The following is a 26,873-nucleotide window of genomic DNA, read 5'->3' on the forward strand; positions in this document are numbered from 1 at the left end:
AATGAGAGGTGATCATCACATAAAATCTGCAGACTGAATTGCCTTTATCTTTTTGCCTTCATATTCCTAGTGTCTTGTCAATGCTTGACATATGATCTTTTTCCCCTTCCTGTTATATTGTTAGTTTCATTTTGCAGTTGGATAAATAGGGTTAGAGAATAGGAGGCTTTTCCAGAGTTAAGCAGCTAGAGATAACATCATAAATATAGAAGAAAGTGGCTTCTGAAAGGTGTGTTAAATGTGTAAAAGCTTACTTCCCTTCTCCCATAAAAGAAGTTGGCGTAAAGGCAGTCTAGGCTTGGCATGGTGTTTCCGAGACCATGCTTCAATCTTTCTCCTCCAGAATCATCAGACCAGTTTCTAACCTCAAGTTTACTGCATGGTCCTACGATGTCTGCTGGAAAGCCTGTCATCACATTCACATTCCAGGCAGACAGCAGGCGCAAGTGGATGAGGACAAAGATCATTTATTCCCTCCCCTTTAAGACCCTCCTGAAAGTCAGTCACACATGACTTTTCCCACTTCATTGGCCAAAACTTTATCTCTTGACCACTCCTGGCTATAAAGCAGCTGGCAATGCCATCATTTCAGGGGTTTATATGTGCTGTTCTAAATACTGGGGTCTGTTCTTACGAGCAGAAAAGAATGAGAGAATGGATATTGGGAAGCAAGAGCAGCCTCTGCTCCAGCTAGAGAGGGGCAGAAAGACCCTGGTGTATCCTCAGACTGCTGTACCCTATGCCTGCTCACAGGACAGACAAGAGCCTTTTAAGGGTGAAGACAGGACTAGACCCCAGCCTCCTGGTCACATGACTCAGAGATCTCCCATATCCTTTTACCTTCTGTTGCATGGAGTGGAATGGGTCGGAGTTTGAGATGTGGATCTTTGTGTTAGTCTGAGACTTTTTCTGTGTGGGAGAGATTGTATCCTACACACAGTCTAGAAGACATTGGGGAGGCCCTGAAGCAATTACTATTGCTAGAAATAAAGTGTAGAGACAGAAGTGGGGATGGGATGGTACTAGAGAGTTAGGCACAAGTCGAGTGATGAGAGGTTGAGTCTGGTCTGCACAGGATCCTAATAGATCTTAACAGGCTGCAGCAATGGTCTAAGCATAATGAGGCAAAACTGAAACTGAACAGGAACAGAACATGTTACACCCGAGTCCAAAAGAAAACTAACAAGATGCACTGATGTGACTTAGTATCTTCAGGATAAAAATGACAGAAGCACTTCAGTAATATCAGCCATAATGTGTAAGGGAGTTATTTTGATCTCAGCCTGCAGGAGCAGAGAATTTCAACGAGGTGAGAGGCATGCTTTGCCATGCACAGGCTAGACCACACTTGTCATGCTGCATGTAGTTCTGAAAAGGACAGACCAAAGTTTTAAAAGGAGAGAAGCCAGGATGGGATTGAAGAATCCTCAGGTTGTATATTTAACATTTTTATCAGTCACTTAGGTCACGCCTGCTTACCAAATTTGTGGATTACTCTAATCTGACAGAGGTGGTAGATACAGTGACAGGCAGAATCAGTCAAATAGAACAATGAGCCAATGCCAGGCTATGAAATTGAAAACAGATCAAGGTATCTCACCCCCAAAAATGATAAGTATGTGAAGTAATGCATATGTTAATTAGCACTATTTAGCCATTTCAGAAAGCCTGCTTATTTCAAACAACATGCTGTACACAATAAATATATATAAGATCTGTGTCAACTAAAGAATTAAAATTAAAATTAAAAGTCAAAGAAAAAAAAAGAAAAAAGTTTGGAAGAGCAATCCATTGTTCAAGAAAGGGATGAGAGAGACCTGGTACAATGGCTGTTCTAACAAATCAGCACTTTAGTGGGCAGCAGGGCTCATCAAAGTACCAGTGTGTCTGTGTGTGTCCCAGGCTGGTGGATGGTGGGCTTCCAAGGAGCCTCCAGGCAGCACTGATATTCATGACTTCACCCAAGCCAGGATTTTGACCTTGGCTTTGTGGGTTTAGATTTTCAAAGTGTTTGAGTTTCCTGGACTTGGGGAGGCTGACTCTCACTAACAATGCTTTTAGGAGACTGCAGATGCCGAAAGTATTGATTTTCAGCATGAATTCTACTTGTTAGGTACCTTAAACCTGATCAGCATACATATGGTTCTTCTTCCATGTAAGAAAACCACATGAGGAACCAAATAATACCTCTAAGGAGTTTTGAGGAGGATGGAACTGAAAAGAGGGATGTGAGTAGTGTGACTCGAATGCTGTTAGAAGAGTCTGATGTGTCCTTCTTCCTCAGGTGAAAGTTCTCAGACTGAAAACATCTAGATAACCTCTAGCTATGCTAAGCCACAGGCACTTTTATAGGCCTAGAACCTATTTCGTGTCTTTAAGGTGACTTGACAGAGTGTGGTTTTGTCCTCTTATTTTTTGACATATTCTGCAACTCAGGAAACAGTCTTGTTTCCCTTTCTCTATAGCACTCGAGGTGCATCAGTCTGCTCCTCCCTTTGCCTCAAGGTCCCACAGTGGCAAGGGGAGAGGAGACCAGTCTGGGGGGTCTGCTTATTAAGCCTTCATTGCTGTCTACCCCAAGAAAACTCAGAGTCACTGTCTCCTAGGCACTTCTCAGGTAGAAAGAAATCTTTCCTTACCCTCCAAATCTGCTATCCTTCAGGGATGGATTCTCGGGTACCTTCGACCAGCTCCCTGCTCTGTTCCAGCTTCCTGGGCATAAAGGCAAATAATCCCAACGTGTTTGGCTTTGACTTTTTCTCATGGCCTCCTTTCCCAGTGGGTGGCCATATATATTCATTCACATGTCCAAGGGGATTCCTCCTTCCATCCCCCGTTTATTGATGTTCTTGTCACATCTCCCTTAGGAGCTTGTTGTGTCAGTCAAGGTCCCAGCAAGAAACAGATGGCACACTTACACTTGGATAATGTGAAATGAATTTAATAAAGGACTACTTACAAAGCTGGGAGCAGGGCTTAGGGAAACCACGAAGAATAGTCAAATGCCAGAGGACTATGAAATCTAGGTGCTATTGTAGGCCTGAAAGAGTGGAGAGAGGGGAAAGAGAGCCAGAAGACTGCGGGGGCTATGCGGAAGAAACATAGGATTCCTGGCTTTCAACAGAACTGGCCCATGGAAACCCCACGGCAATAGTAATAAATGCCACACCCTCACTCACTTCTCTCCTTCCAATCTCCTGCTGATGCACAACACTGGCCATGTGCAGTTGGTAGTCAGTGGTCAAGGGAGCCCAAGAGTGTGGTTCAGGTTCAGCTTCCCCAGGGAATAGCAGGGTGGACAAAGATAGAGAGTGGATTTGGATAGGCAAATAGAATAATCCAGTAAAAACACTGAAGGCTAGACTTTGTTGTTAATACCTGTATTTTTTGGTTTCCCATCCCACACATAGTAGGTTTGCAGCAGTTGACTTGGCCATGGATTTCTTTGGGTAAGGAGATGATCTTTGATCCCTGTATTCCAGGGCCTATCCCAGTACCCCCAAAAGATGCTCCATAAATGTTTATGAAATGACTAGTGAATGAATGAATGAATAAATGAAGTGAGCTCAGTGGGAATTTTCCCTTAATTTTGCTCACTGTTTCACTCCTTGGAAGTAGCCACTTCTCTGCTTCACTTGTAGGCCAGATCCAGTTATTAAATTTCTAAATTATCCTTCTGTCTATGGGGCTGACTCTCTAATGAGGTCTTGTAAGTCTTTGCTTCCATCCTCGGAGTCCAGACAAGGAGCTCTTGCCTCAGGCACAGCCTCTGTTCTCTGGGATGTCTCACCTTTTTAGCAGGGAAGCGTTCTGTGCCAGATGCTTAACTTGTGTCCTCCTACCAGGGAGATTCCATGAGGAACCTTCTCTGTTCACTTTAGGCAGATTGGATTGGCTTCTCCTTGCTGTACTTCTAGCTAGATTAACTGTTAAACAAATATCTATTACTTATCTGTCATATTCTAGGCACTGTGCTAGGACATGAGAATGTTCAAGTGGGTAAGATACAGTTTGACATAAGGGACAAAGTGCTGCAGTCCAGAAGGAGAGAAGACAAATAATAAATAATTATTTTACAGGGTAATACATGCTATGTTATTATGTTATTATTCTATAATAATTATGGGAGCACAATGGGTGAGGAGGGCACTGTGGGAGCCTGGGTGAGGAGCGCCAACCCACCCGGAGGCGCAAGGAAAGCTTTCTGGAGGAGTTAACACCTGATCTTGTAGGATGGGAAAGAGCAAGATATTAAAGATAAGTGATTCCAAGTCAAGTGGTGAGCAAGATCAAAATGACAGACACTTGACATAGCATGATGTGTGCAAGGAAACATGAACTAATCTGTATTATTAGTGATAACAGTTGAGGAATGGGGGGTGAGAGGCAGATGGAGGGGCAGGCAGGGTTTAGGGTGTGGAAGGCATGGTAAGCTGAGCTAGGGACTTTGTAGGACATTAACTAGAGTGAGGTGAATAAGGCCTATTTTAGGCACAAAATGTAAAAGGGCTTCAAGGTCTCAGTAACTAGGATAAGTAATATTAAATGCAATATTTTAAACAAAATTAATGCAAAAACCCACAGTGAAAAAAAAATAAAATTTTAAGATAAATAGTATTGAGTGAATTCTTATAATTTCATGTTGCTTCAGTATCCATTTTGAATATAACTTTAACTTTCTCATACCAGAAGCAGGCTTAGTCACCCTTGGTGCAGTATCCAGTTTTACAACTCCTCCTAGTTCCTTAAGGTGGTCAGTTCAGCTCTCTGGCTTATATAACTCGTGATAGTTACCTCTCCATGAGACAGCCAGATACAACTGACCTAATTAGCCCCACTGACCTCCACACCCCACATGGACTGTGCAGGTGTGCCACAGTGGCCACCTCTTAGTCACAGCGTGACCCCCATGAAACTAATGCCTGCTTGTACCACCAGTTAGACCTCCCCACAGGAAACCTGCTTGAGTAACTCCCAGGACCCAATAAAGAATTTGGCTTACAGGTCCCCTTCTCTCTCTCTTGCTCCCCACCTGCTGGCTGAATGCACGTGTCCTCAGTGGCTTCCCCCTTTCCAGTGACCCTGGGAGGCATACTGCCCCCTGCACTGTGGAATCTGTAAGTAATAAATATGTCTGTTATTTCATGCTCGGTGTTGTGCTGCCTCCTCCTGTGTCTCCCCTGACAGACAAACATGAGCCTAACTTCTTTCCTGGTCAGGGCTCTCCTATGGAGTGGCTATCTTGGTAGGAATAAACTAAACACAGCTTAGACAAGAGCCACAGGGACATCTGTGAATAAAAGCAAGTTTTCTGTATGGGGAACACCTGGCCATGGCCGGACACTTAGGCATTAGGCAGTCTACCAGGATAAAGATGTATCCCTTGAAAGGCATGCTGTAAACATCCAGAAACTGCCTTCCCTGGAGCCCTGTCGTCAGGGCAGGGCTAGAGTTTATAGCCACTCTCCAGGGAGAGACTTCAAGACCAAATTAGAAAGAATTTGTATCTTTAATATTTACAAAACACTATGTTACTGATTTTTTTCTTTTGCCTTGGGCATCAACATGGCTCAGCATAGCATTATTACTGAGTCTGTCTTTATTGCAATAAAATGTTACTTATCCCTTCAACAAATGGTGCTGGGACGACTGCATATCCACATGCAAAAGAATGAAATTGGATCCCTGCCTCATGCCATACACAAACATTAACTCAAGGTAGATCATAGACCTAAATGTAAGGGCTAAAACTGTTGAACTCATAGAAGGAAATGCCAGAGTAAAACGGTGTGGTCTAGGGTTTGGCAATGATTTCTTAGATATGACACTAAAACTGCAAGTGATGAAGGATAAGATTTTTAAGTTTTACTTTATCAAAATTAAAAATTGTGTGCCTCTAAGGATATCATTAAGAAAGTGAAAAACAACCTATCACCCTTCTGCTCTATTCTATAGCCATCTATTGCTCTTAAAATAAACTCCAGTCCTCCTGCCATGACCTCCCAGTCCTGCAGAGGACCTCTGCCAACCTCTCCAGCTCCATCTCATCTTTTCTCTCTCTGTTTCTTGCTCCACCAGCTCAGCCACTTGGGTCTCCTTTGCCAAGGAGTGTCCTCCCTCTGGAACTCAATACCAGCTCTTTCTTCTTCTGGAATCTTCTCTCAGCTCTTTTAAGGTTAGTTCTTGCTTTTTCGCATTTCATTACACTGTTACATTTTGTGAGACCTCTAAAGGGACCTTCCCTGCTTACAATCAATATCATCACTCAGTGCATTGGTTTTCTATTACTCCTGTAACAAAGTGATACTCACATGGTGGCTGAAAACAATGCAGACTTAGCTGGATGTGATGGCTCATGCCTGTAATCCCAGCAACATGGGAGGCTGAGGTGGGAGCTTCGTTTAAGGCCAGGAGTTCAACATCAACCTGGGCAACATAGAGAGACTCCATTTCTAAAAAACACAAATTAAAAAAAAAAAATAGCCAGAGTAGCTGAGGCAGGAGGATCTCTGGAGCCCAGAAGTTTGAGGCTTCAATGAGCCAGATCGTGCCAATGCATTCCAGCCTGGGTGACAGAGCAAGACCCTGACTCAGGAAACACACGCATGCACGCACACACACACACATACATTTACTGTCTTCAGTTCTGTATGTTAGAAATCCAACATATGTCTCAGTGGGCTAAAATCAAGGTGTTACAGGGCTGCATTACTTTTCATAAAGGACATTTCATTTCCTTGCCCTTCCCAGCTTCTAGAGGTTGCCTGTATCCTTGGCTCATGGCCCCTTCCTCCGCCTTCTAAGCCAGCAAAATTGTATCTCCGACCATTCCTCTGTAGTCACTTTGTCCTTGGACTCTCCTCTTCTGCCTCCTTCCTTCACTTTTAAGCACACTTGTGACTATCATGGGCCCACCCAGCCAACCCAGAATAATCTCTCTATCTTAGGGTCAGCTGATTAGCAACCTTAATTCCAGCTTCAACCTTATTTCTCCTTTGCTGCATAACCTGACATATTCAGAGGTTCTAGGTATGAAGACATGGACATCTTTAGGGATGGAGGTGTTATTTTGCTTATCACATCTGGCTTCAATTCTTCCTTAGCATGTCTGTGACCTTAATCATTCTGTTGGTTAATTGTTTGTCTTACCTGCTAGGATGTAAGATCCTGGGAATCTTCAGCCTGCTATCATAGGTAAAATCTTGAGTGTAGATAGGAATGTGAAAAATAGTGTTTCTCAAGCATGTCTGTCCATCAGGGGCTATTCATTTGTTCATGCACTTCATAATGTTTATTAAGCACCTACCTAGAACCAGACACAGTTCGACTCAGGATGCGTCAGTGAACAAGACAGACCCCAAACACTACCCTCATGGAGCTTACATCTTTGGTAGAGCTTTAAATAATATAGATGTCTGGGCTCCACCAGCCGCTCCAGAAGCCAAGCCACTTGGGTGAAGAACAGCTAATCATTAAATGGCAAGTTAGAATCATTTGAATTATTTTTCCCCACACCTTGGACTATTATTCCAGAGGGAGGGTTTTATTGGAACAGAGCTTCTAAAACCATCTTTGATAAAGGGAAAATTGTTTTCTAATTCCAAACCATTGTGGATTGAAACTTTTGTAAAATACAGTAAAAACAAATTACTAGAGAAATCTAATATTGCTTGGTTATCATGGCAGGGTTAAACACCTATAAAAGTTCTTAAACACTCTCAATTTCTACGCTAATCTCATGATAGATGGATGACAGACAGTTCTCAGAACAGCTCAAGTCCTGAGTCTCTGACTTAGTTTTAATTTTTTCATCTGTGAAATGGACATAATTTTATATATGGAGAGTTATTAGAAGGATACAATTGGGTAATATAAATAAATCACCAAAGTCAGCATTGGCTTAGTAACTGGTAACTATTAATGTCCATAGATGTTATGCTTCAATAATTCTAAATAATACTTTAATACTCAATTGTTGGTGTCAGAAAATTCAAACAAGGGTGGGGGGTATCCTCCAAGTCAGTCAGAAGGAGGCATCATGCTAGGTTGTCATAAAAACAATGTAGATTTTAAATATCTGTGTTTGGGATTTGTTTTTGATTATAAACAGAAACACAGGGAAAACATGCATCTGAGTACTGTTGATGAATAATAATCACTGAGAAACCCCATTTGCCTTTTAAACTCCAACCAGATGTTACCCTTCCCCACTGCAAACCAAGCCCACCCTCGGGCCCATTAAACAAAATGCTGGCTGTCACTGACTGACAAGGTCTGAGGATTGGCTCTTGTTAAATAGCCACAAGGTCATGGGGATTAAACATTCTCCAGGCAGTCACAGGAAAAGTAGAATGTCAGCGCTGCCTTTTCTCTGTGAAGATGGCTCAGTGACATTTTCAGAAAGGAAGGACTACTGCTACCTGTCAGCACTCAATGGAGAACACAAGGTTAGATGCAAAGCAGGAAGGTTACTCACCACCGGGAGATTGGCGGCGCAGCTGCAGCTTCCTTCTGAGATGCAGTGCTAATGGGGCAGACCTGGAGAACTCCTTCAAGGACTGGGAAGTGGAGACCAAGCCCAAAATGAGAAGCAACGTGGCACGAGGGAGAGCGCAAAAGCTTTGGCAGTAGACAGTTCTGGGTTTAAATCTCAGCCCTAGTATTTGCTGATCCTGTGACCTTAGGCGTGTCACATAATCTCTCAGACAGCAGAACCTCTCTTGAAGGACTGTCATGGGTGTTAGTGATATTGTGTGCGAATGCCTGGCACACATTGAGTGATCGCTGAGATTTAGTGACTGCCAGCTTGTCTCAGGTGCCCAAACAACAAGATCCAGTGAAAATGCACATATCCTCCTTTGCCTGTATACCACATCGTTTTTAACCTTTGTACATGAATGACTCTAGTTAACGCTCATGCATTACAGATACAATCAGTTCTCTCCACCACACACACTGACTGTTTTGTTCCATTATTATCTAGCTACAAAATAATAATCTTTAACAAGAAATCCAAATAAGTAAGAGTGTGTGTGTTTGTGTGTTTGTGTGTGCGGGAGCGCACATGGGAGTTTTTACTGAAGATTTGTAGCATCATTGAAGAAGGTTCTCTCTGTGCCATGCTCCTCATTCTACTAAAGACCCTTGTCTGGCACTTTTTATTTCCGGAGTATTTACTCTATCCACTAGGCTAAGATGGAATTAGAAAGTCCAAGTCTTTTTTTCAAGAAGAAAAATGTGGAATAAAAATTATGCAAGTTTCCTAGACTCAACTGAATGTTAAAAATGGACAATGATTCTTGCAGAAAGGAAATAATCTAATTGGACTGAAAGTATACTCAGCCATAAAAAACATTAAAATCACATTTTTTTGCAGCAATATGGATGAAGCTGGAGGCCATTATCCTAAGAAAATTAATGCAGAAACAGAAAACCAAATATCACATGTCCTTGCTTGTAAGTGGGAGCTAAACACTGAGTACACATAGACACAAAGAGGGGAACGGTAGATACTGTGGCTTACTTGAAGGTGGAAAATGGGAGGAAGGTGAGGATCAGAAAACTACCTATTAGTTTCTATGCTTATTATCTGGATAATGAAATAATCTGTATAACAAACCCCAGTGACATGTAATTTATCCATGTAACAAACCTGTACATGTACCCTCTGAATCTAAAGTAAAAGTTAGAATTTAAAAAAGAATGCAAAAATCACAACCTTAAACACAGGGCATCACAGCCTTACACTAAAACTACTTCTACAAGGACATCTGCCCAATAACTGCCTGTTCAACCCTGGACTGGCATCAACCTTGTTATTTCTCTCTGTAGCCATGGATAATTATTTCAAAATGATTATGCTGCATTTTTTTTTCTTTTAAAACCTTTGTCTTCCTTTATCTCCCTAAAACACACATGCTTTAGCATGGCATATGTATTCCCATTGAATTGCTTTATTTCCAAATAAATATATTTTCTTTAAAAAAATTTGTTTACAGAGGTGGAGTGCTCTGAATTGCCTTCTCTGTGGTGATGAGGGTGGAAGGATTCAAGATATTTATGACCCAGTGAGTTAATCAAAGCACATGGTTAGCTGGGTCATCAGCTTATGAAAAAGGTATCAGGAAAATTAAATTGGACTCTTCTCTGTGCTCTACCGCATGTCGGAGGTTAGATAAGGACTTTCTGAACTCTCAGAGATACCAATTAAAAAAATAAACCTGGGTCTGTTTTTGCTGGCTTGTAGTCTGACATTTCAACCTGAGGACTGTGATAGTTCCAGTATTTGTGAAACATAGTCTGAAGCGTTAAAGTCATTGGCACATCTGTTGGAGTATGTTATGCTTTGGCTCTGTGACTCCACCCAAATCTTATCTCAAATTGTAATCCCCGCCTGTTGAAGGAGGGAGGCGACTGGATTATAGGGGCGGTTTCCCCCATGCTGTTCTCATGATGGTGTGAGTTCTCATAAGAGCTGATGGTTTTTTGTGTTTGGAAGTTCCTCCTTCTCTCTCTTCTCTCTCCTGCCACCTTGTGAAGAAGGTGACTGTTTCTCCTTCCGCCATGATTGTAAGTTTCCCAAGGCTTCTCCAGCCATGTGGAATTGTGAGTTAGTTAAACCTCTTTCCTTTATGAATTACCTAGTCTCAGGCATTTCATAATTGCAGTGTGAAAATGGACTAATACAGTGAATTTATACCGGGAGAGGGGCACTTCTATAAAGATAACCTGAAAATGTGGAAGCAACTTTGGAACTGGTTAATGAGCAGAGGTTAGAACAGTTTGCAGGTCTCAGAGGAAGGCAGAAGATGTGGGAAAGTTTGGAACTTCCTGGAGACTTGTTGAATGGTTTTGATCAAAATGCTGATAGTGATGTGGACAATGAAGTCCAAGCTGAGGGGGTCTCAGATGGAGATGAAAAACTTCTTGGGAACTGGAGCATAAGTCGCTGTTGCTATGCTCTAGCAGATACTGGCGCCATTTTGCCCCCACCCTAGAGATCTGTGGAACTTTGAACTTGAAAATGATGATCTGAAATTGGAACTTATGTTTAAAAGGGAAGCAGAACATAAAATTTTAGAAAGTTTGCAGCCTGTGAGTCTTTCCTTTATAAATTACTGAGCCTTGGGTATTTCTTTACAGTAGTGTGAAAATGGACTAATACAGAGCTGCCATATTCATAGATTCTGAGAGGCCATATATAAGACATAACATTCTTCTCCTGGCCTCCAAGAAAGAAAATAAAAATAAGGCATTGCCAATTAATATTAACTCATTATCAGTTGCAAGGTGAATCTGAACTGTAGAGACATCAAAATGTGAAAAACATGCATCTTGGACTGGATGAATGACTGTAGTGTTAGCTTATACATTGCCACTTAAGCTATGAAAAGATCTCACTAAAAACTTACTTGAATGTAACCTCTCTGTTAAAATTTTGTAGATTCCATTTAGTTCCTTAGGTCTACGTTTTTACCCACTCTGTAGCAAGTTGCAGGCAGATGGAAGCAGTGACTCTACTAGTTTGAATCTAAATGTTAGAAGAGGTGTCATTCACTGAATGCCCATTGCCTGTGGGATTCCCTTCTCTCTCTTCTCCAACTAGAGCAAAGCCTCAATCCCTCTGCTTCCTGGGTTTTCTTTGGGAGAACTGCAAATTCTTCAATTCTTTATTAAGCAGAGCCTTCTCATATTGTGTTTCCAGATTTCCAGAGCCAAGAACGAGCAGTTCAACAAAACAAAATTCCCCCATCTAGAAAAATTTCCCTTCCTTCCTTCCTCTCTTCCTCATTTCCTTCCTTCCTTCCTTCCTTCCTTGCTTCCTTCCTTCCTTCCCTTTCTCCCTCCCTTCCTCCATTCCCATCTCTCTCCCTCCCTCCTTCCCTCCCTCCCTCCTTTCTTCCTTTCTTCTCTCTCTTTTTCTGTTTTTCTATTTTTAAAAAGCCTATTTTCTTTTGAAGGCAGCACAGCAAGCATCTATTTTTAATTGTGCATGATCCTTGGGGCCTCATGCTTTAGCTGAAATATCTGATCTGCAATTTCTTCTAAAGCAAAAATTCAGAGCCTTTCACAAAGGAGATTTAGCTGAGCTGCTAAGACAACTTTTCCCTGATGTTACTGTCTATGTGTATGAATGCTGTGTATATATGCGTATAACACTACAATTATCAGAGAGGTCATCTATGCTCTCCTGGGGCTGAAAAGGCAAGGCTTTCCTGTATGTAGTGAGGAGAATTGTGTCTGAGGAGTAAGATCCTTGGTTGTTTTAAACTCCTTTTCTAAGCCAAATAGAAGATGCTTGCCTGGAAGACAGAAACTGGACTATAATGGGAGGTCCTTAAGTCCGGTAGAAGATTTGAATTTGGGCAATTTTTGGCTTGACATCCTACTTGATAAATGCCACTAGCAGCTAACATGAATTAAGTACTTTCTGTGTGGGAGGCTTTGTGTTATGCAGGTAGAAGCAAATTTATATGTCACAAACCAGAAAATGGAGGCTCAAGGTCGTTAAGTAACTTTTCTCATGTGGAGAGAAATAATTATGATGATGATGACAGTGATCATTTTGGTCTTTGAAGACAGTTCTCTCATAATATAGTTTGGGTAGCTAAGAAGGCTTGGGACTCTTGGAAGGTTGTTGTGAAACAAATTTTGGCCCAATCCCAGAATAATAAACTACTTCAGGAGACCTGTGCAGCAAATTGAATCTCAGTGGTAATAGCTGCAGAGTGGAGAGGCTGCCCTGGCTTTCTCCCTGCTCTGGGAACTGTGAGTTGGAGAGAATCACATTGACTTTCTCATGAACATTTTTAACACTTTAAATTTCACTTTCTCCTGCACAGCCTAGCATACAACACACATAAATCCTTTCTTTTCTTTCACAACTATGGCATATCTTATAATTTAGCAACTGTAAAAATGAATAAGTACAATTAACAATGCAGAGCGAAAGACAGTAAGCTTATAACTGGTTATAAGTCAATTGAAACTCATTATTAAGGAACAAAATGATCCTAATTAATATCCCAGTTTTCTGGTCTCTCCATAAATCAGTAGGCCATTGCCTAGCTAGCTACTTTGCATTTGCAGTTTTTAATATCATGACTTGATTCAGGGCTAGTTGGAGTCCCCTTTGTTCTTTCTTGACCTTTGTCTTCACATTGACATTAGTCAAGGGATTCTGTGGTGTGGCAGAAAAAGAGTAATGGGACAAAGTCAGACCCTTTGTCCTGGCTGAGCCCCTGCTGCAGACATCCATGTGGCCTTTGGGATCAGTCTTGGGAACTGACAGGGTCTGATGGCCAGGGGGCTTTGGGAATAAGAATGAGGAGGAGTAGAGCTTGACTTTGACCTGGGAAAATAGGCTGTAGGTGGGCTTTTTAAAGAGCTGACAAAGGAGGAGCAGCAGATTTGGGGCCAAAAAAAATCACAATTTTGGGTTTCAGAACCTGAAGTTTCTGCAATTTTCATGTGCAAATGGATAATCAGCACTGGATCTTGGGAGACGTGTTTAGCAGGGCTCTTGGAGACAGATGAGGAAGAAAAGGTGATCTTGATAGAAGTTCCTGCTTAAGGCCTCTTACGGTCTCATGCTGAAGCTGGATACATCACTTAAAAGGCTGAATAGTGTCACCTTCTGCAGTCACCTTTGCCTTCCAGAAAAGACTAAAATACACATTCAGCACAATAGCCCAAGTCTTGTCCCCAAGGATCTACATGTTGTACTACCCGCTTTTCTCCTGTCAGGGAAGATGGCCTGTTTGCTTAATCAGGAAATCTGTACCATTCGCTCATTTGCCTATAGACACTAAGCTTCAGGTAAGATGTTGCTATCTCTCTGATGTTTCTGTTACTTCTAAATATACCCAGCTATTGAAATGTGTGCCTATGGGGAAAACATGTGGGTTAAGAAGCACATATTATAGAAGACAAGCGTAAAGTCCAAAATGACTTAAGACAAAGTCGGGCAATTGATTTACGATTTGTCTGAATTGTGTGTTAAGAGACTTAATAAGAACGTCAAACAGCTTAAAGGTGAAAGGGCTTTAGAAAAGGGCGAGGGCTGCCTTGCCTCCCCCAGCAATGCTGGTCTCACAGCTGTCTCCTACTGACTTCCCCACCTTTGGTAAAGACTTCATCATGATCATTAATGCCAGTAATGCCTTACACTTACAAAGCACTTCCTGTGATTTCCATGATTACATATTCCATAACAGTCATGGTAAGAAGACCTGGCAGGTCATTATTAATCTCATTTTACAGAGGGAGAAATTGAGGCCCAGAGAGATTCAGTGTTGCCCAAGGACAGGCATTTAGTAAGTGGCAAAACTGATATCAGTATTGTGACACCCCCTCCTCTGTACCCCAGGGCTGTTTTCCAAATTTGGGCCACATTCTTTCTTATTTGGATCATTATAATAGCTAGCTAAATGTGTCCCCATTTCTAGTCTTTTTCCTGTTTAATTTTTGATTTACACTGTAGTAGAATCGTCCTCCCATAACAAGGCTTAAATCATGTCTACTTTCGTCTTTAAAAATCTTTAATGTCTCTCTCCATAGCCTATCCACAAAAGCCCAACATCCTTCCAGTATGCTCAGGGCCTGTGATACTCTGTCTCAGACAGTGCACCCTGAATATTTTAGCACTGTTCTACCCGTCATTAGCCAGATCTACCCTCTACCTTCTCACATCTCCATGCATTTGCTTATGCTTTTCTTCATGAAGCACTTTTCCTTTGTTCATCCATTATTTAAACCCTGCTCATCCTTCAAGGCTCACTTCAAATGCCCTTTGTTTCACAGAATCGTCCCAGATGGCTGCAGCCAAAATCAACAGCCCTTTTCTTTATTGCTGTACATCCTTATAGAACTTGTTTTACTATATTTTGTGTTACAGTTCAAGTGCCCAGGCCTGAACCACCCATCCTACACTTTCAGGTCTTTGAAGGATGTCAGGAGTTTTGCCTTATTCTTCATTTTCACTCATGGTACATACTGAGCAAACATTTATTTAATGAATAAACTTGTTAAAAGGAAACATATTTAGTGTTTCTAGAAAAGCAGACCATTTGGGCTCTACAGAACAGTGATTCTCCAAATTACTTGTGTCCTTCAGGCATCTTTCTGGCTAGCTACATAAAAATTATCCGGACCACTTGTTGAAAATACTGAGTCCTGGGCTCTAACTCCAGAACTTTTTGTCTGGGAATATGAAACTTAGCACATTTCCCAGGTGAATTGTATGCTAACCCATGCTTAGGAACCACTGGTGTAAAATACTGTGAACTTCAAAAAAATTTGTTTAAATTTACAGAGATACCTGTATATATATTAATTTAAAAATTTGTTTAAATTTACAGGGAAACCTGTATATATGGAACAACATGATGTTTTGAAATATATGTACATTGTGGAAACAGTTAAATCTAGCTAATTCACAAATACATGATCTCACATAGTTTTTTTTTGTGTGGTGAGAACATTTAACATCCACTATCTTTGCATTTAAAAGAATACAATATATTGTCATTCAATATAGTCACATGCCGTACAATGTATCTTTTGAACTTATTCCTTTTATCTATAATTACATATCCTTTGGCCAACATCTCATCTCCCTTCTGCCCTAACCACCTCAGACTCTCATAACCACTCTCCTACTCCCTACTTCTATGAGGTCAACATTTTTAGGTTCCACATAAATGAGATCATATAGTAGTGTTTTTTTTTTTTTTTTTTGCACCTGACTTATGGATGTTTTGATCTATAAAATCAGTCAAGTTGGCTGAAGTTGGGCTAAATTCACTCATGACACAGGGGACTCCTATTTTTAAATACTTCCCTTTGTCACAAATTTCTCAGGCTTACAAGTGAATTTCAGGAGTGTTTTGTGTCACTGCAGGAAGCATATCAGTAGCTTCCTGACTGGGGCAGGAGGGTGCTTTGATTTCGGTCTTCTTCCTGTTTTGACATTTTTTTTTGTTTTCTGATACTCATCTAATCCTTTCGATTTCTTGTGACTTGTTGGTTTTTCACTGCTTATCATGTTTGCACATCCCTTTTTTTAATCCTCAAAATACCCCTAAACTTCTTATTTGATGAACACATCTTCTTCCTACTGTATAAAGAATCTTTATTTTTTCACTCTGGTTTCATATTCTTGCCTTTTCTGTTTGATCCGTTGTTATCCAGGTCTTGGTATTTTTCTTGGCATCCAAACATTGTAGAGCCAACTGTATGAACCCTCATCTGAATATATTCAGAGTAAGTTCTGCTGAGACCATTGCTTCATAATATTAAATACTTTACCTCAGAGGTAGATAGAGCAATCTGTCAGGGTAGATATCTATGGGTGTTTTGCCTACTCACGATACTAGTGTTATAAATTGTGTTTTCCTGCTACTAAAAAAAATATGTATCCCTTGCTGATATGATTTGGATTTGTGTCCCTGCCCAAATATCATGCCGAATGGTAATCCCCAGTGTTGGAGGAGAGGCCTGGTGGGAGATGATTGGATCATGGGGCCAGTTTCTAATGGTTTAGCACTGTCCCTCAAGTGCTGTCCAGTGAGAGAGTTCTCCCAGGATCTGCTTGTTTAAAAGTGTGTTGGACCCTCCCTGCCTCTCTTTCTCCTGCTCCAGCCATGTAGGATATGTCTGCTTCCCCTTCGCCTTCTGCCATGACTGTAAGTTTCCTGAGGCCTCCCCAACCATGCTTCCTGTGCAGCCTGCAGAACCATGAGTCAATTAAACCTCTTCTCTTCATAAATTACCCAGTCTCAGGTAATTCTTTGTAGCAATGTAAGGAGGAAATAATACATTTCCTTTTATATACTTAATAAGATTGACCATGAAGGATCATCGGCACTATAAAAAGTACAAAAATAGCATCAAGAACTGTAACTCCTTTTATTATTAGCATTTCTATCAGTGTTATTACTGGTACTACTATTACCATACATTATTTATAATCTACTACTATAAATATTTCTGCTTCAGCTGGCCCATGTGCCATTCTGATGTTACCCCACTGCCTGTTGCCTTGCAATGGTTTGCCTTGGACATCTTCTCCTCTGGGTTGCTGCATCTCCTACCCCTCCACTTTATCTCCAGAGGACTCAATCACCCCAAGATGGAGCAGGAACCCCTCTTGGGTATCTGCCAGACACCCACCTCCCACCAAGCATGGAAATGAAGGAAAATCTGAGTTTTTTTCAAGGGAAATTTCAAGTACCTAGTTACCCCTGAGAAGTAAATGCAACTTAATAAGCAAGAAGGTAATAGTAGCTTAAAACAATAGCCAAGGAAGTTGGAGTCATGGGATGTATGGTTCCCTATAGAAACCAAAGTTCACATCTTAACATATGTCCCTGAGTTGTTTTTTAAAAACCTGAACTGCTACCAACCGGGTCTGCTGCACGTAGACCTCAGATCAGAAGGAAATGAAGACTGAACTCTGATCACATTTCTTTGTTTTAAATTTCTTCTTGAGGGGCCTGGAGGAAGTTCCTAGGCCAGAGCTAACATTCTTTTCTTCCTATCCCAAATTTTTAGACAAAGGTTTGCCTCCTGAACCAATTGCAAATTAGAAAACCTTCAAACCCACCTATGACCTAAGGACCCCCTGACTTCCCCTCTCAAGATGTTTTGTCTTCTTACAAAACCAATGTATTTCCTCCATGTCTTGATTTATGACTTTGCCTGTAACCTCTGCCTCTCTGCCTTTACAAACTCTTGCCTGTTAGCCATGTGGGAGTTTTGTTCTTAAGCAGGAGCTGTCTGATTCTTCTTGGAGCCCTTTCTCCTGCTGCAAACCTTGGTGCAGATGTTTGTCCTCACTGTTCTGGGTGAGCAGAACCCAGTTCGGTTTGGTTACAACCGTCTCCTGCTCCTTGGATTCTCATAGTTCTTATGCTAGTTTGAGAGATACTTCAACTTTCTTTTCCTTATTTTGGGGATTTTCAGGGCTAAGTTTGTGAAGGGAGGGAGCCAGCAATCTTTGCTACCTTTCTATCTTGTCAGGATCTAAATGCCAGGATTCCCCCCATGGTTTTATAAATGAAAACCACATGGGAGGGGAACTGATGTTTATTGCAGACCTCTTATTGTGGAGGAGGAGGTTTAAGCACCATAATAATGACAATGATGATGACAACAATGCCTCCTCCTCCCCCACCAGATATAAAACACTGTATTCACTCCATGCCAAATCCTCACTACAATTCCTGCAAGGGAGGTAACATTATTGTTTTCTTGCCCATGGGAATGCTGAAGGTCTGAGAGGTTAGGTAACTGGTTCAAGGACACAGAGCAGAGAAGTGGCAGAAACTAGCTGCAATCTTCTGCTGCAACAATCAGACTGTTGTCCTTTCTCCTGCTCTGCTTGGGAGTCCTCTGGGTATGAAATGCTGCACTCAAGGCATAGAGTGAGCCGGTGACAACCCTGCCACCAAGCCCAGCCTGGTGGCTCTGGATCCTCTGCTGTCTTTGCCACCTGTTCGACCCTCATGCCCTGCTCTCTTCCTATTCAATGTCCAAGGATATCAACCAGTCCTTGAAATATGGTCTGGAAGCTACGAGTGGAAAAATACCATGAGAACCTAGGAAGGAAAAAAAAAGTGAAGAGGAGAGACAAATACCCTATTTATCCCTCTTGACTTCATTACAAAAGATCTGCAAAGCTCACACAAAAAAAATCAACCTGCAAATCATGTTATGGTTAATAAAGCAGTAAATTAAGCCTTCCTGGCTCTACCTGCAGTATCCTGAAGGTAGTCACAGTGCCCTTTCTGTTTCATTTTAGGGCCCAGTACAAAAGGTTTTCACCTTAGCATAATTAACTTTTTATCATTAAGATTCTGAAAAATTGAATTGTGTTGGACACAGGTCACCGTAATGAGAATTTAATGGCGACGTATTACAATGCTAGCTAAGCTTTGAGTGCGTGCTAAAGGCATCACATTGCTACTGACCTATGCAAATTTCCATCTCGGTGGCCCTTAGTTTTCCCCACTGTGGCTTCCAGCCCCCTCCTCACTTTCTCCTCATCTCCTTAAACAATGATTCCCTCATTTTCATATTAATTGCATCACTTAACTGAGATAATGCTCCCTCTGAAATGAGCAAAGGGATGAATCACTGAAACAGGCCATTATTCTTTTTGCTTAACCAATTTCACAGGCCCCGCACAAAGCACTGCCTTCATTTGGCTTCCTATAATTGCTTATCATTAGGCCCAGCCGCCCCACGAAGTACCTTTTAATTTATTTAAGTCTCATCTCTGATGGATGGAAAATGAGTCACTTGCATATCTGAGAAGCCCAGGCTGTTCTGTGACCAGGCAAGGCGGTGGTGGAATACCCAGGAGAACTATGATGGCAGAATATCAAGGAGAAGCCACACCGGTGGGTGGCTTCACCTGTTCCCCTTTCCCATGGAGATTCCACTGCCATCAGGTGGTCCAGGGGCATCCAGCAGCAGCTGCATCAGCTCCCCAAGGCTGAGAGGAGAGAGGGCTTAATTCAGGGGATGACGGCAGCTTGGTGCCCATAGCGGGGTGTGCAAGGCTACCCCAGGTGTCCTCATCACCAGGGGCCACAGCATCCTACCTGTGGACAGGTGACTGGGGCAGGTGGGAGAGTGTACCTTGGCCTTGGCTTAATATTCTGGGTGCATCAGCATGATGAGATGGCTAAAGGAACCTTGTAGAAGATTGTTATTCATTCTTTCTGTGTCTCTCTGTCCTTTAGGGGGCATATGATGGTGAATGAGAGGGAGAGAAGGAAAGGACATTTTTCAAGGGAAATTATGTTGTTATCAGCCACAGCCACACTCAGAAAGGCATTGAGAGAGAATGGCTCCCTTGCCATGAAAAGGAAATATTCCTATGAGCCTGTCAGGACATCTGGGCTGAAGCCTTCCCTGGAGGTTTCCTCTGAGCACACCATGTGCTTTTGTTCCTGCGGATGAAAGGGTCTGTCAGGGAGCTAGCTCTCCATGGCCTTGTGATCTGTCCCATCATAATATTGTTTCCTGGATATCGCTGCTGTGACTCACGCAGCCTCTCTGTTTGGTGGCTGCCTCAATATCACCCATCCCTCTCACCCACCTTTGTGTTCAGCCCTCCCCAGGTGCTTCAGCTCTGGACCTCCACCCTCACAGGACCTTGTCAAGAGGCTGGCCAGGTATAAATAACTTCTTTGAGAAGAAAGTACAGTTTCCTGACTCTTCCCTTCCATTTTGTGTGATGTTCCTGGGAGGACTAATGAGGACTGAGACCCAGCCTGGAGTGACACATTCCCTGACATGAAGGGAGGTGACTTTGAAAGATGCCTGGGGCATGGTGTTCACAGCAGGGTTAGGATAAGGTGGGAGTTCTTAGAATGTGGTCCTGGAATCAGCAGCATCGGCATCACCTGAGAACTTGTTAGAAACTAAATTCTCAGGCCCCAAACTAGACAATCAGAGAATCTGAGGGTGGGCTCCAGCAATCTGGGTTTTCACAGGCCCTCTGGGTGATTCTGATGCTCATTATGTGGGGGACCGCTGGCCCAAGACACTGTATTTTGGTTTGGATGTTTTGTTTTTTTCATAATTCTATCATATGTAGCATCTCACTGAATTCTCACCATGATTTTGGAAAACTAGCAGGAGAAGGCAAAGCTGGTTGGGGTTATGCCCATTTTACAAATGAGAAGGTAAAAATCATAGAGGTTACATGACTTGCTCAGTAGGAGATTGATAAGGAGTGGTGAAAAATAAGGTTGAGGGCAAAGTAGGGCCAGATCATAGATGGAATTCTTGACAGACAGAGTAAAAAACAATAGAGAACCATGATAAGTTCTTGAGTTTGCAAACAGCAGAACAAAGTGGTGCTTTACAGAAAATAATTTGAAAGTGATGTTTGGGACAGATTAGAGTAGGAGAAGCTAGAAGCCCTGTTATATCTGTTGGCAGTCCAAATTACCATGCTTTTAAAATTTCAGTAGTGCATTTTACTCCAGCAATGATCTGTAAATGCAGACAGGCTAACAGAGATGGGCCTTCCTTGTGCTCCTAAATCACACCATGTTACTTACCTCTCTGGATGTCAGTTTACTTGGCTCTAAATGGGAATTAGCCTATTCCATAAATTGCCCCTTTTTACAGGGTGTGACTAGTTTTTCTTTTTTTTGGATCAAACCATGCCAAACTTGGTGTATAGTTGGTGTTCGGAATCACTGAATTTTCTTGATTTAGAGTTGACATGATGAAAGCGATAGTTTAAGAGAAATTGTAGAGTGGTGGCAGAGAGATATTTTCATTACTGTGAACAACATATTATTAAAATAAACAGGTTGATGTTAAAGTTGACATATGTTTTAAAAATTAAACTGCTGAAAGATGCTTAAGAAAAACAATTCTTTACTGTTACGGAGTACCTTATCATTTGTATTAGTTTATGTGGGCTTAACTCCTACAAGAAAGAAGCTAAAAGTGTGGTAGTTCAAAACAATGGAGGCTTGTTTCCTTCTCACCTAAGAATCTAGCAGGGATGTTGCAGGTCAGCAAAGGGTTGGAGGTTGGCAGTGAGGAGCAAATTTCTGTTCCACACCGTCTTTCAGGGACTGAGGTTGACAGTGGCTCTATTATCATTAGTGTATGGCTTCCAAAGCTTGCTCACTTATTATTATTGGCTTCCGGTCATGGAAAGGAGACGACTATGCAAGAGTCTGGGCATTTTTTAGGTTAGGTCTTCATGTGACACTCAACACTTCCACTCATGATCCATCAGCTCAGACACACCAAAATTTGGCCACACCAAATTGTAGAGGAAGCTGGAACATTCAGATTATCTCTGTACCCAGGAAGAAAGGAAGAATAGATTTTAGTGGACAATTGAAATTATTTCCAGAAAGCCTCTATTTTACTGATGAAGATAATGAAACTCTGGTTTGGTGAATTCTTTTTGAAAACATTGGCGACCAATGCATGGACCTGGGAAAAAATCAAGGTCATTTCATTACCTCCCTATATTTCAGCCAAAATGAAATTACGTATAAAACCAAGGATTTAGAGAATATCTACAACATGCCTAGGTCTGTCTGTGTCTGTGTTACATGTTTGGAATTCCGTGGTGGTCATAGTTCTACTGGCTTTGTGATCAAAGAGTAATTTCTGCATATGTTGAAGGATTCTTTTACCTTTGATCTTTAAGCACTCTTTGAAACCCTTAATCATATACCCTATTTCCAGGGTGGATTAAATTTTTTAGATAATACACATCATGTATTAAAAAGCCCTACATGTTCATAAGGCTATAAATTTCTCAAGAAGGGATGGAGTGAAATTTCTTGCTGTTTTATAGAATTTATGTAACATCTAGCATGGAGTTTTAAAATCAGACCATGAGGAGTTTTACTCTCAGTTACTCATCTTTAGCCAGTTCATTTAACAATGTTAAAAGAAGTCATATTGTTTCCTTCTTTTTAAAAAAATTCTATATGCTGTATCTCCTATCTATCTATCTATCTATCTATCTATCTATCTATCTATCTATCTACCTACTATCTATCTATCTATCTATCTATCTATCTATCTATCTATCTATCTATCAATTCTGTCTGTCTTAGAAGACAGTTGGGGTAAGTAATATGAGATAATAAATGTAAAAGGGATAAGAAATTACGAAATTTGATGCAGAGACATAGAATCATTATTACGATAATCCATCAGTACTCTGAATTTTACCAGAGTACTGAATACACATTCACTGTCATGGAACATTTACAATGTTGTATGTGAGGTAGGTGCTATAGACTGAATGTGTCCCTTTGAAATCCTAATCCCTAAATGGTGGCATTTAGAGGAGATTAGTTGATAAAGACAGAGCCCCCCTGAATGGAATTAGCGTTTATATAAAGAGAGCTCCCCCATACCCTCAGCCATGTGAGGATACAGCAAAAAGATGACCATCTACGAATCAAAAAGATGACCATCTACCAATCAGGAAGTATGAGCCTTCACCCAACACCAAATCTGCCAGTGCCTTGATCTTGCCTGTTCCACCTTCCAAAGTGGGGAGAAATGAATTCCTGTTTTTTGTTTTTGTTTATTTTATTTTATTTTATTTTATTTTTTTTGAGATGGAGTCTCGCTTTGTCACCCAGGCTGGAGTGCAGTGGTGCGACCTCGGCTCACTGCAAGCTCCGCCTCCCAAGTTCACGCCATTCTCCTGCCTCAGCCTCCCGGGTAGCTGGGACTACAGGCACCCGCCACCACGACCGGCTAATTTTTTGTATTTTTAGTAGAGACGGGGTTTCACCGTGTTAGCCAGAAGGGTCTCAATCTCCTGACCTTGTGATCTGCCCGCCTAGGCCTCCCAAAGTGCTGGGATTACAGGCGTAAGCCACCGCACCTGGCCAAATTTCTGCCCAGTCTATATTAGTTTGTTATAGCAGGCCAAACTAACTAACACAGAAATTGATATGGGGAGTAGGGTGTTGCTATAACAAGGACCTAGAAATGTGGAAGCCATTTTGGAGTTTTGAAGTGCATGTGAAACAAAGCCTACATTGCTGTGAACAGACTGTTAAGGGTAATTCTGGGAAGGGCCAAGAAGGAGAGGAGGAGAGCTGTAGAGAAGGCCTCAATATTCTTAAATGTAGAGTATCTAAGTGGTAATGAACAGAATGTTGGTGGGAATATGGACTGTAAAGGTCATTCTATTGAGATCACAGATGGAAATGAGGAATATGCTATTGGATAGTGAAACAAAGACCATTCTTGCTATAAAGGGGCAAAAAAACTTGGCTGAATTGTGTTTATGCCCTGGTGTTTTGTAGAAGTTAGAACTTGTGAAATGGGATATTTAGCCCAGGAATTATCTAGGCAAAGTTTGGGAGGAGCGACCTGACTCCTCTTGACTGCTTATAGTAAAATGTGAGAAGAGAGAAATAATTTAAAGATGAAATTGCTAATCAAAAGGAAAGCAGAATGTAAAGATTTGGAACATTCTCAGCCTATTCTTATTGAAAAGAATGATAAAACCTGTTCAGGGAAGGAACATAAAGGGTGTGCCCAATCAACTTGATAAGGAGATTAGTTTAGATCTGCCATCTGAACAGAAGTTCAGGGCTATTCTCCAAGACAATGGGAGAATGACCGTGAAGGCAATTTAGAAATCATCAGGGCTGCCACTACCATCGCAGCCACAGAGTGGAAGAGCCCTAGGAGTAGGATGGTTTTGAAAAAAGGACCGCTGCTTCCTCTGGTGCTGTGCTTCTTTGCCACCCCAGGCAGGGCCACCCCTGCCACTCTTTGGCAGGCTCTAGTGCAACACAGGCAACACACAGAATACTGAGGAAAGAACATTGACTCAGGAGGCCAAATACTTGGATTTGAGGCCTACTTCGGATAAATATTAACTATTTGAGATAGGAAAAATGACTTTTACCCTCTATTTCCTGGGAGATAGAATAATAGCTTCTCTCCCTTATAATCTCACCGGGTTATTATAGGATCATAACATCTATATATCAAAAATATCTCAGAGTTTTTTTTTTTTTTATGGGTTTGATGAGTCAATCACTCTTGGTTCTGTCCCTCTAAAGCTGCAAGAGCCATGCCAATGGAGCTTTATGTTACAGTTTGCTTAACATTTAATTGAGGTCTCAGGTGAGGCTGGGGTGCCTAAGATTCAAGCTTTTAAAAATGGATTATTATGCTATGGACTATTTTCCCTCTCTCTCTTTTTTTAAATTTTACTTTAAGTTCTGGGATACATGTGCAGAATGTGCAGGTTTGTTACATAGTTATACATGTGCCATGTGGTTTGCTGCACCTATTTACCCATCCTTTAAGTTCCCTCCTCTCATCCTCCAACCCCCAACAGGCTGTGGTGTGTGATGTTCCCCTTCCTGTGTCCATGTGCTCTCATTGTTCACCTCCCACTTATGAGTGACAACATGCGGTGTTCGGTTTTCTCTTCCTGTGTTAGTTTGCTGAGGATGAAGGCTTCCAGCTTCATCCATGTCCCTGCAAAGGACATAATTGCATTTCTTTTTCTGGCTGCATAGTATTCTGCTGTGGACTATTAATGTTGGAGGCTTTTAATGTTTAAAGTAGTACAAGCTGCCATCAAACCTAGAACTCCACTAGATGGTATCTTTGAAAGATTGTCTTCTAGCTTTAATTGTAATAATTCCAGCAATGAGAACTAACTGACAAAAAGGCACATTTGATCTGAATACTTGTTTTAACTGTATTTACTGAGGCAGGCATGATGCTAGTGAGCTAACACAGAAGACTGGATTGTCAAATCAGACTTACACAACTCGGAGATCTTACCTGGTGTCAATGTTTACTAATAGTTTCATGGACACATACCACCAAGTGGCACAGGTAAAGCTGACAGCAGTCCAGAGCATTTGGTGGGACTCCACAGGTCTTTCCTTCCAGAATCAGATATAGAATCTCTGGCCCAACGTAATGGAGAAGGTCTCTAAGTGAGGTCTGTGAGTTCCTGCCCACAGTGGATTGTCTAGATTAAGAAACATCTCCATTTTATACCCCAGAGTGTGGTATAATCAATGTGACATGCTCTGGGAAACTATACCACATAAATCTTTAGATTCTAGGTCTATCTACCACAAGTGATTCTAAACCAGGAACATCCTGCTAAAAAGATTGCATAAATAATTACCCACTTCTAGGAAACATCATGATTTCATTTGCCAGGAGTTCCAGTTATCAGCATGTTTACAGGAGGTTAGATTGGGTTAGCTTCCTTTTTTCTTTCCCTAGACTATTCTCCTGATAACTGGGAGAGAAATGGATTACTGGCCAGTTATTTGAATTTCTTCCTCCCTGGCTAAGTAGGGGAAATACAATGGTGAACACAACATACCAGGTCTCTGCCTTTGACTAATTCACTGATTGGGAGAGAAGAAGCAATCAGATGGGTTTAATAGAACCAGCTAGTCTACTGAGTACTGATCAAGAACACTTCTCATCTATGGTGGAAAGTTACACTTGTGAAAAACAACTCAATTTTAAACCAACAATTTTGATTTGGAGTGTCCATCCTTGTGAGTTTTGATTTGGGATTCATATTTGAAGCTGTCATTGTTTTTCTCTAGTCATAATATTTAAATCTATATGACACACCTGTCACAATTTATAGTTTTATGTGCTTTTCCTTGCACCTCAGCTTCAGATGCTCTGGACAATGACTGTTTGTTTGTAAGTGTCAACATGCACACCTAAGTAAATGTTATGTTTACAGCATAGTCCATTTTTGAATATAGACTATTCCATAAGGAAGCAACTTAGATGAAAATCCATTTAGCTCTTTTCAACCATCACAGTAATAGATACACTCTCAGAAATTTATTTTAGTTATATGCATACAGAAGACCAATGATGGAGATCTATATAGCATGTTATGGGAACAGATAAGAGGGGCAAGTTCTCTCAGTTACATGGGCAGAGTCTTAAGGCATAAGAGGAATATAAACAAATCAAGAAGGGACAGGACATTTCAAGCAGAAGCAAGGCACTGAGAGAACAAACAGCTTGGTATGTACTAAAGTACAAGAAGTTTGATCTTTGTTGAACATTAAATGCCATGCAGAAGCGGAAGATATCGGAGCTGGTGCAGCAAGCAGGAACCAGATGGGTCATCAGAAATCTCTAGGAGCCATTAAAGAGCTCAGATTTTCTCTTGTTGACATGGTGAAGTAGGAATGCAATATAGTGGTTCAAATGACAGCTGTGACTGTTGGAAATGCATTTTTCTTTTCCTCCTATTAAGATTAAATCCACAACCCTGTTATTATTTCTGTCTGTTGTTTTTAGCCCTGGTTTTAAAACTAGTGAGGAAACATCTAATTTCT

General features: G+C 41.4%; 3 long non-coding RNA genes across 10 annotated transcripts in view; 2 read left to right on the plus strand and 1 right to left on the minus strand.

Moving 5' to 3' along the window:
• The window catches only part of LOC101929048 (uncharacterized), a 74,973-nt gene extending 66,352 nt beyond the window's left edge, over nt 1-8,621 (minus strand). For all 5 annotated transcript variants that reach the window (XR_925415.3, XR_001741387.2, XR_925418.3 and 2 more), the window contains exons 1-2: nt 8,477-8,621; nt 7,150-7,306 (exon numbers count right to left, since the gene is read on the minus strand). This is a non-coding gene — a long non-coding RNA (uncharacterized LOC101929048). The remainder of the gene's footprint in view (nt 1-7,149; nt 7,307-8,476) is intronic.
• The window catches only part of LINC01182 (long intergenic non-protein coding RNA 1182), a 276,050-nt gene that overhangs the window by 177,106 nt on the left and 72,071 nt on the right, over nt 1-26,873 (plus strand). The gene's annotated exons all lie outside the window — the stretch shown is intronic.
• The window catches only part of LOC107986182 (uncharacterized), a 103,624-nt gene continuing 77,341 nt past the window's right edge, over nt 591-26,873 (plus strand). For 2 of the 4 annotated variants that reach the window (XR_001741382.2, XR_007058056.1), the window contains exons 1-3: nt 591-3,449; nt 5,060-5,117; nt 6,079-6,175. This is a non-coding gene — a long non-coding RNA (uncharacterized LOC107986182). Of the gene's footprint in view, nt 3,450-5,059; nt 5,118-6,078; nt 6,176-26,873 lie in introns of those variants that run through there. The other 2 variants (XR_001741384.2, XR_007058057.1) reach the window with 2 other exon arrangements.

The sequence above is a fragment of the Homo sapiens genome, chromosome 4, assembly GCF_000001405.40.
Source record: "Homo sapiens chromosome 4, GRCh38.p14 Primary Assembly".
Lineage (NCBI taxonomy): Eukaryota > Metazoa > Chordata > Mammalia > Primates > Hominidae > Homo > Homo sapiens.